Here is an 11,215-nt window from a genome sequence, read left to right on the forward strand (position 1 = left end):
CTTCACTACTGCTACGATTCTAGCCCATACTACCATTTTCTCTAGCTGGACTCCTATAAGTCATTCTATTTGATTTTCCCATATCCACTCCTCCTTTCATCCATTTATTATATTGAAGCAAGCAATATTTTCAAATGCAACTTTAAGTATGTTAATTCCTCTCTATGCACCACTCCCATCACTTTAGGGACTTCCCATTGCTGTTTTAAATAGAAGCCAAAATTATGAAGCGAGCCTTCAAAGGGCTCCTATGGTTTGGCTTCTACCTATGTCTCCGGCCTACCTTTACTCTACTCTACTTTTTTCCTCAATTCGTACATCCAGTGACATTGATTTTTTTTCTTAGTTTTCCTAATGGACTCACAGAGAGTCTCACAGCGCTGTTTTCTCTACTAGAAATATTCTTCTTTCATTCTTCAGCTGATTAGCTATTACTTCTCCTCCAGTTCTCAGCTCAAGCCTCATTTTTTCAGATAAGCTTTCCTTAAGTCTCTCATGTAGGTGAGGCTCTTATAGCCTTCTGTTCTATTTCTTCATAGCACATAGGTTAGAATGTAAATGTATTCCCATTTATGTGATTATTTGACTAATGTTTGACTCCCCTACTAGTAATCTCCAAGAGTATAGGACACCACTGTCACTTTGCAATGTTTCCAGAACTTGGCACATTGCCTTACCCAGAGTAGGCCCTTAATACAGTACATGTTTGTTGAATGAATGAAAATCTCCTAGCCAAAGTAACGGATAAAGTTGTTAGCCACCAGCCAATATGCTTTTCTTGGTGCTAAACTTTTGTTCTAGGCTACTTAAGAGGCTCTTGGTTCAGCCTATTGGTTGCTTCTGGGGAAGAGATTGTTTAAAGTCTGGGTAGTCTGATTCCATGCACTAACCTCAGTCAATCTTGTTCTAGGAGCTACATCTGGTTGCTTTCTCAGAAGGTGCCTATTGCCATAATAGACCTTGGAGAACAAGAGGCTATTCTCCACTTCAGCCCTCTCGTTTATTTACATTAGAGATTAAATAACATTCAATTTGAATCTTTGGTAGATCTAAGAAAAATAAAACCTACTCACACTGTGCTTCTCTGATTATTATGTTTAATGCCATTATAAGCACAATCCTTAGTAAGCAAGCCCTATCAAATGTGCTGTTAACGCTAATTGAGTAGCGTTGTAGGAAAGTTACCTTAGGAATGTTCACTGCAGCTAACTGGTGTTGCACAAAATCTAAATACTTTGCTCATATAAGCTCATGAATACTAATGGCTTTGCTTGATTGGAAAATTCTCAAAGTGATTTGCCAACACACAGAAAGTTCACCAATACTAGCCAGGTCTGAGGCTGCAGCTGGGGGCAGCTGTTTAATGCAGCACAATTAAGCCTTTCAACATGCAAATGCAAAGGAACACCTTATTCAACTGGAGCTTCAGGGGAAATTTAGAAAGGCATATGCAATTATGCAAATTGGACAGTTTCCAAAGAAAGAGTTGGCCAACATCTTTAATTTAGCAAAGAGGGTCATTATCAATTTTTATATATAAATCTCCATCTGTCCTTGGAGAGATAATGAGTCCCCTAGGATACAAAGTGAAGAGATGTTTTTCATGGAGAATCGGTAATACAGAAACAATAATATTGATGCCAAGATACATATAGCATCTGCTATCAAATAGACAGCTATACCGCACATAATTAAGCAGTGCTAAGCAGTGGCCAAGGTCTAGAATTTTCATTATGCATGAATTTTTATTTTTGTGTTGTGAATAGCTCCCTGGCAAAAGTGGATAGAAGATAAACATCACTTGGCATGTTGTCTCCCAAAAAATGGCTTGGAAAAAAATCCAGTCAAACATCTACAAACAGCCAATGTTTAGAAAATAAATGTTAATAAGTATATAGTTATAATTTTTCTTATTGTCAAAGTGGAAACCTGAATTCAGCTTTCAGTGAAAAAATTATTGTAGTTTCTCTTATATTTTTGTTTCTTGGGAAGCAAAGGGAGCAACTAAAAAGAGTTTCTTTTTTATGTCAAGAATAAATCGATTCGTTCAATATATAATCATTTTATTGGGCACCCACAATGTGCAAGGCAATGTATTGGGTGTTAGGGCTACAACAGTGAGCAAAACTTAGACACAGTCCCTGCCTTGGCATTTATAATGCAGTGAGTATGACAGGCTATAATCAAGTAATCACACAAACAACTGTAAAGCCACAGCAGTGGCAAGGCATATCAAGGAGAAGTACTTAGTACAGTGCTATGAAGATAAAAAATTAATCTAATGGTTAGTTTGATGTGGTCAGACAGGTCAGGGAGAGCTTCTCTAGAAATTGGAATTTTGAGCAGCATGGGGAATAAAAAAACTTGCCTGGCAAAAATGAGAGCCTATGTGCTATCTCTGTGGAGGGAGGTTGTCTGGCATGTAGGGAGAAGTGAAGGAAGGCTAACGAGGCTGCAGTGGAGAGAGCTCATGGCAGGGTATAACATGAAAGGGGGTACCAGGGACTAAACCAGGCTGGGCTCTGTGTATCATGTTAAGGTGTTTGGTCTTTCCCTTCAGAGCAATGGAAAATATTAAAGAGTTCTAAGCAGAAGTTTCCAAGGTCCAATGTGTATTAATTCCTGTTTAATGTCAATTCCATTTATATTGTCAATATATATTTGCTAAAACATGTGTGGAATAATAACCTGTATGCAGGATAACTGCATATTTTACTTTATGTCACATCTTACATTTGAGGTATTTTGAAAAGGAAGTTTGATGCCCTCTTCGCCACCATTTTGAGAATGATTAATAAATTAATTAAATTGAATTTATTGAAATCTTAAAACAGCTTTGCTTTTTAAGTATTGAAACAACCTTGATCACTAAAAGATTTAAGAAAGGTGAGGACTAATAACTATTTTCAGTTTAGGTGAACAGAGGATGTGAAGCCAGAAATAAAATGATGGGGATGTGTAGATAAGAAAGTGAAAAATATAAGATTAAGTTTTGGTATTAAAAAATATAAAAAGTACAAAGTCAGGTGTGAGTATTAAATGACAATGTTTAATCTGAATGAATGCAAAGGAGCTACTTGGAAAGCAAAATGAATGCGGACAAATGATATGTTTTTGAGCTTTTCTTTTTTTTCTATTTTGCCAGCTTTGCATCTTTTCCTTTTGGACGGAATCCTTTCTGCACTGTTAGTCCTTCCATGTGATTTGAGTGAGACTGACCCTGCCTACCAACCCAGGGGTGGCCAACCAGAGTACTCTATTTCCTGGCTACAATGATTGACTTAGTGAGGAGTCTGTGATCCCAGAAGGTACCATAGGAGTCATTCTTGTAATAATTTTTGAAGCTAGTGAGAAAGATGTGTTCTGTTTTTTGGGGGTGGAGGAGTGGGGTGAGGAATAGCTATTGTAACAATAGATTAAGATTCAAGTGTTCTCCTTTGCCACTGATAAGGAAGAACTTGCCTGAAAAAGAAGCCAATAGAAAGGAAAGCCGAGTCAAGAAATGGAGAAGAAGACAGATTGCCAATGACAAAAGTTAACCTTCTGGAATCAGCTACATATTGAAATTTCCTATTATGTAGCCCAATCAATTTTCTTATGTGTTTAAGCTAGATTGAGTTGAGTTTCCATCATTTGAAGTTACGAATCCTTTCTTTGCACCAAAGGTGCAAAAAACTTATCCCAGATCAGTCTAACCATCTGTCTTCTCTCTACACCTGGGATCTTAAAAATACTTATAAAAAGTGTTATAAGAACAGCTCAGAGATGCAAAGTTCTGCCAGAGATCACATAAGCTTGTGGGTTGGTGCTATGACAGCCATGGTTCACAGCACAGCTGGGACCTCAACACTACTTGGCAATATTTATTTATTTACATACATATTTTTAATTGACAGAGAAAAATTGTGCATATTTGTTGTGTACAACATGTTGTTTTAAAATAAGTACCCTAATGCTAATGGTTAATTAAGCTAATTAACATATGCATTACCTCACATCCTTTTTTTTGTTGTGGGAACACTTAAAATGTACTCCCAGCAATTTTTAAGAATATAATACATTGTTATTAGCTATAGTCACTATGTTGTACAATAGATTTCTTGAATGTATTCTTCCTATCTGAAATTTTATTCTTTGACCAGCATCTCGCCAGCCACCCCACCTTTCCAAGCCACTGGCAACCACCATTCCATTCTCTACTTCTCTACTTCTGTGAGTTCAAGTTTCTTAGATTCCACACATAAGGGAGATCATGTGGCATTTGTCCCTCTTGTGCCTGGCCTATTTCACTTGACATCATGTCCTTCAGGTTCATCCGTGCTGTTGCAAATGCCAGGATTTCCTTCTTTTTTAAAGCTGAATTGTATTGTGTATACATACCACATTTTCTGTCCATTCATCCATTGATGGACACCTAGATTGATTCCATACCCTGGCCATTGTGAACAACGCTGCAATGAACATGAGAGTGCAGACACTGGCAATATTTTTTGTTTTCTGGTTAGGGTGTCTCCCATTCCCTCAATATTTATCTATTTTGTGAAAATCTCATTATGCCCTCTATCCTGCCAATTCTGTCTTCACTCTTAGTGTATGAGGTTGCCTTTTTCTTCACTGAGAAAACTGAAACCATCTGGTAAGAATGCCCTGCAACATCCTTTCTACCTGCCTACTTGGCTCAGCATCTGCACTCATCCTTTCTTCTTTTCCTCTGGGCACACAAGAAGACATGTGCTTCTCCCTTCTCAAGATAACTCTATGTTGCGTTTTGTTTTTTTTTTCGTCACCTCCTTTTGGACCTTGCTTTGTCAATCTGCTTTTCTTCTGCATTATCAATCTCTTGAAAGACATCTCAATTTCTTCACCTTTCATTCACACCTTAACTTGCTACAACTTGACTTCTGCCCCAACTCAAATTGATCTGCTCAGCAAAGCTCACCAATGGCTTCTATATTGCCAGATCTTTTTTCTGATCTTCATTGACCCCTCTTCAGCACTTGACATTGTTAAGGGCTTTTGCTTTGAAGTGGTCTTCTTCCTTATATGATTTGCCATGAGCCTTCTCTCTGATGACCTTTCTACTCTAGCTTTCAGGTTGTTTTATTTTATAGCTCACCGATGAAGACTCATTCTGCCTCATGACGTGCACTAACTAATAATAATAACTCACATTTATTGAATGCTGATGTTGTGCCAGGCTCATTGGCTTATGAAATTATAATAACTCTTTGAGGTAGGTGCTATAATTATCCTTGTTTACAAATTGGAAAGTTGAGGCTAAGAAAGGTTATTTAATTTGCTCAGGGCTATGCAGCTAGTAAGACATGGAGTCAGGCTGGAATCCAGAGTCTGCTTTATATGACTTTAAGTAATGAAAGTATAATACACAACAGAAAAGTGGACAAATGCTAGAAAAGAACCTGATGAACCTTCACAAGGCAAACATGCTTGTGTAGCCAGTATGCAGATGGAAGAGCAGAATGTTCTCAGCTCTCCAGAAACCCCCTCATATCATCACGGCACTTCACAAAAGAGCAATCAATATTCAGAGTCTAACACTACAGGTTAGCTTTGCCTGTTTTCAACTTTATATAAATAGGATCATAGAATCATACAGCATATATGTAAGATTAATTTATTTAGTGGTGAAAAGAAAAGCTCATTTATTGTTATTATATTTTAGAACATCATTGTGTAGATACACCACTATTTATCTGTCCTGTTCTTGAATTGATGTTTGGGTTGTTTCCTGTATTTTTTCTACTGCAAATAGTGCTATGAATATTCTTGTACACATTTTCTGATGGACAGTGTATGAGTGGAGTTGCTGGGTCATGGGTCATGCCTATACTGGTTTTAGAAGTGCTGCCAAATGATTTTCATAATTGATTTTGTCCTAAGGATTGAATATTTCAGATATTATATACCCAGAATAAATCCGTTATCTCCCCAGTAGAATAAAAAGGTTTCTCTTTTTTATTGCTTATATCTCCCACCTGTGCTCTTCATCCAAAATTTATTTTTATATGTATGGAGGGTACTTTTATTCATTTCATACTCAACATGTATTATTACATTGATCAAAATCTTTACTGCATTCACTCCAAAAATAGAATCTTGACCGGAGTGAAATTCTTTTCAAGTATGCTTTATTCTCTTCTTTCTTTATCCAGATGCCACAGGCACATTTGTTAGGAGTTCTTACATTGTAATGTTGCTCTTCATGTGGCTGCCTTTCATTTATGTATGCTGAAACATTGTTCATGAACATTGACATGGTAGTCAAAGATGTCATAGTCATACCCTTTTGTTAAAAATTTTTTCCTGGGGTGGGAGGGAGACACACGACTTTGCTTCAATATTGCCACAGCAAGCAATTACTGTTGCACAGTGCTGTAATTGTTATTCCTAGTTGGACCAGCTGACTCAAACCCTAGAAAACCATGTGTGATAGAATATATACTGCCAACCCAGTAGTTTTCTGTAAAGGAAGCCCATTGTGAAGACTAATTTTCCACTGTAGACTTTTGAATAAAGTCTCTCTTCATTCTTTGAGAGATTCCTCTATCCCACAGATATGCATAAGTTAAAGTCTTGCATTACTCAGCTGAAATGTTATGTGAACATATGCAAGCAAAAAGTCTCCAAATAATGTCCTCATGTGTTTGGCGGACTTGTATTTACTTCTTGATTGCATCACTCATATGCTCTAGCTATCTCTTCTACCATTTTATCCGCTGGGGATAACACTTACCCTGTCATCCATTCCCACTGTTAATGTTTATCAACGAAGAGAACAAAATAATCTATATTTTGTTCTTCTTCCATGAAATACCCTGTTTTTTAAATATATGTAATATTAAGCAGTTTATTAGTACATACTCTGGAAATACATAGCTCATGATCTTCAAAGCATTAGGGAAAAAATCTTTTGTTGAGAATGAACGCTTTAATTTAATATAGGGGCATTGTGGTATAATACAGTGGTGGCTGACATTCAGAGTTCCAGAAATTATTTTTCTACAGAAGTAATGTGGAAAATATGACTAGAAGTGAAATCACTTTCCACCTTTTAAAACTGAGCATAATTATCCACATTTACTGTTATCCACAAACTGGTAAGAAATAAAAAATCTCCTAAATTGATTTTAAGTGTGACTGATTAATATTCTTTAAATGTTACAATACTGGATCAAGACAGCCAGAACTGGCAAAAAAGCAAGAGTTATGCTTTAACGATGTTTATTTTACTCTAGTTTGAATTACTTGTGTCTGATGTTCAATCCCAGGAAGTCTGCTGTTTTCCTTTTGCATGTTGTGATAGGTGTCTAATAATACCTACGTTATGAAGGTTGATTAAATAGCAAATAAGAGGAATTTCCTGCTACTGTATTGTTCATGTCTGTTCTAACTCTAAATGCTCTGCCATTTTTCTTCCCTCTTTTTCTTTCAATAAGTTATTTGAAAATCTTTAATATTTCCCTTCACTATTATATTCAAGCAAAGCCGACTGTTTAGAGAGCCTCTAATTAGCTTCATTCAGAGAGCAATATTTTTTCTTTTTATATTTTTATTTTCCCGAGAGGGCAAAATCTGTTGTAAATTGGTAGCTGGTACAGTTAACACCTCACTTGGACATTCATGGAGGGAGACCAGGGTTTAGAGATGCTAGCCCAATCTCTTGGTTGCTGTGTCATTATGATAAAATTACTAAAATGTATCAGTTTCTTAATTGATAAAACAATACCTGTAATAATGGCTCACATTTACCAAGCCAGGAACTATTCTAAGCACTTTATTTACATCAACTAATTTAATATTTACAGGAATCCCTGTGCTAGGTATGATTCTGCTCCCTGATTTACAGACAAACAGAAAATACTATTATTATCTCAACTTTGTGGATAAAGAATGGAGATCCAGGGAGGTGAGATTACTTGCCCAAGCAACACAGCTAGTAAATGGCAGAGCTAGGAGATCAACTGGAGCGCACTAAACTATCTCTTAAGCAGGTTAGGTTGTGAGAATTAAAGAGATAATTCTGTGAAACACACATCACAACAGTAAATTTACCTAATAAGTGCTCAATAATTGGTGATTATTATTATTTTCATTGAGCCAGCAAGGAAGGAATAAGGCATGTCGGTGAGCATAGGAGGTAAGATGTCTGTCATATTCATTGCAGATATCCCTCCCATACCTAGAGCAGTGCTTTAAATGGATGAATGATGCATGCATAAAGAGTCATCTTAAGGCATCATTAAACTGGACAAAATTGATAGAAACCCTATATAAGGGTACAAAGTGTTTTAAGAGTATCATGAATGTCCTGATTCAATTAATGGTCCTTAATGTTTCTAGAGTGACAATAAAGTTGAGAAAGGGTTGTAGGATTAGGAGAAATAAAAATAGGCTATGAGAGAAGTCCTTAAAAACGTTACTATAATAATAATTTTGTCAGTTTGTTTTATTAATTGTAATTATGTCTACTAGAAAAAAGGGATTAAAAAAGAATGAAAAGAAAAGACAGGAAAAGAAACCCACAATAAGATGTTAAGTAGCTGTAAATTTCTCATAGTCAAAAGAATGATCATGGTTTGGGTTCCTGGATTTAAAAAATGATGATTATTCTGTCTTCAGAAATTTTGTAAATCTGCAGCTATTTCCAATTACTTGTTGAATGAATATCAGAAATAATGCTAACGTAAAATTTTTTGTCAATTCTTCTTTCTATGAGAAGATTCACTCCTTTGAAGTGTATATATTCACACAAATACTTCTAAGAGCAATAGTGCTTTATAAAATAGTAATTTTAGTTTAATAGCTGTTTTGTTTTCCTTGGCTGATAATAATAAAATACCTCATTTAATTAAAGAATGCATTTTATTTTTTATAGTTCAGGATAACAAGTCAGCTTTTATAGGTACATGTAACTCAGCAGAAAAAATTATTGAACTATTGAAAAAGAGACAATTTATTTGTGCTTTTCTTAGCTCATGTGTGTTAGTCATCTGTAAGTTGCTCATACAGAAGAAAAAAAGGTAAGACCTCAGCATTAAAATAAGCATAGTCTCAATATTAAATCTCTTAAAAGTCCTGGGGTGGTTAAAACTTTTAATTCTTGAATGTTAGACTGTAATAAGTTTGGCTAATGCTATTTTTTTTTTGATGAGAGAATTAGATCATTAATTTCTGTAAAACTATTTTCTGAACTGCACCCCAAATTTTATGCCTTTTTTGGTATAAAGAAAGTTTAATTCTAAACAAAAATGAATTAAGGAAAATATGTAACAGTATGGTCATGATCACTTGCTTTTAAATAGTGGAAGAGAATGTCATCACAAGTCAAATTTGCTTAAACAATTACAATTGCTATAGACTGATTCTACTTGACAAATTTCTGCTTTCAGTATGCCAGTAAAGAAAAAGACAGGAATTTTTCCTGTTTGCTTTATTTATTAGTTTCAGCCTTGACAAAAAAATTACAAATCTGTATGCACATGGAAAAATGCATGTATAACAATCAAATTGGTTTATGTGCTGTGAATACCTTGTATGTGTATTTTAAAATTAGATACAACTAAACTATCAGGAAGAAAAATATTAGAGTTGATACAACTTAAGTTTTTATTATTTTCTTTGAGACAAATTAACCACTAGTACTTTATCCTCAAACATAAATAAAAAATTAGAATTCAAGGGTTTTCAGTGAAACATTTGCTAACATTCATGTGTTTTTGATTTGCCAGGCACTGTTCTAAGTGCTTTCCATATTTTAACTAATTTAATCCTCATCACAAACTTATGGGGTAGTTATTAATTATTCCTATTTTTAAGATGAGGAAATTGATGCACACAGAGGTTAAGGAGCTTTTCCAGGGTGACACAGCTAGTAAGCAATTAATTATTAATTAATTACAATTAATTACTAAAACATTTGGGGAACCTTTTTGTGCCAGGCCTATCTTAAGCAGCAGGGATGCAGAAGTGAATAGAATAGAAGGGAATAAAACATATTGAGGGTTTACGATTTTAGATAGGGTGGCCTGCAAACTTTCACTGGGAGGGTGACTGGGGTAAATAAGGAATTAGTGAAAAAGATCTTTCTCTGCTATGTGAAATGAAGGAATATTTCTAGGTATGGAGACCTTTAGGAAAAAAAAACTATTTGGTGATAAAGCAGCTTGGGTTGATGATTAATTATAAAATATTAACAGCAACCACAGTGCTGGTCCTAGATATTTTTTGCTTGCTCCTCTGGATCCCCCGTCTGCAGTTCTTCATGCTCCCTGTGCCCCAGGAGTTTGAGAAGTATGTGCTACTTCAATGAGCCATGTTGGCCTTTGGCTGCTGGTTTGGTTTGGCCAATATGAGTCCCAGCAAGAGCTGAAGGGAAGGAGGAGAGAGAGGGCAGGTGTTCATCCCCTTGCCACCTCCCTGAGGGGGTCGCCATTGGCTGGCTGCTTCTTTCTACCAAAGGCTGTGACTTCAGTCAGGTGGCTCCCTCCACAGGACTCTATCCTTTTGTTTCTCATGACTGTTCTTTTTCATCCCCTTCAGGCTTAGAATGGTAAAGATGTCCTCTTAGTACTAGGGGTGCAATTTCCATAGACCCCACCCACTCCTTTGGAAGGAATCCCTTAAGAGACAAATGCCAAATTTGAGTGTGATTTCCGTTTCCTAATGTGATCCTGACTGACACAGTTGACATATTAGCTACTTGGCTCTGTGAGTCTTCAGTGTAATGATTTTGAATTTGCTTGTCATCATAAAGTCCTCCAAACCAATGAAACTGTATAAAAGTGTGTATTTATTAGGTATCTTTTTTGGGGGGCAAAAACCGGAAAGCTGGCTAGACAAATTCTAAAAGAGCTGTAACATATTAGGTATCTAATACACTCAGTGCTTGCACTTTCCCTCCATTCTATCCCACTTTTAAACTGTTTATATGATTGACTCTGAAATCCCCTTAAAATTAACCTTGTCTTCAGAATAGTTTGGGTGACATCTGAGGACACTGCGGATGGACATTGTTGGAGCAAGGAAGTACTCAAATAAGTGGTCATTTCGAAAAGAAGCAGTACTTTTACTTCCAGGGAACAATTTTAGGAAATGTTAGGAAGCTGGAGACAAATTCCTGAAAAGTGAGACTAATGGAATTTTTAAAGGAACAATCAAACGTTCTTTTACCTTAAAAACCACGAAGGATAAGATT

At 36.0% G+C, this 11,215-nt stretch overlaps 1 pseudogene; it reads right to left on the minus strand.

Moving 5' to 3' along the window:
- Window positions 10,836-10,880, minus strand: RNU7-106P (RNA, U7 small nuclear 106 pseudogene; annotated as a pseudogene).

The sequence above is a fragment of the Homo sapiens genome, chromosome 12 (genome assembly GCF_000001405.40).
Source record: "Homo sapiens chromosome 12, GRCh38.p14 Primary Assembly".
NCBI classification, from domain to species: Eukaryota; Metazoa; Chordata; class Mammalia; order Primates; family Hominidae; genus Homo; species Homo sapiens.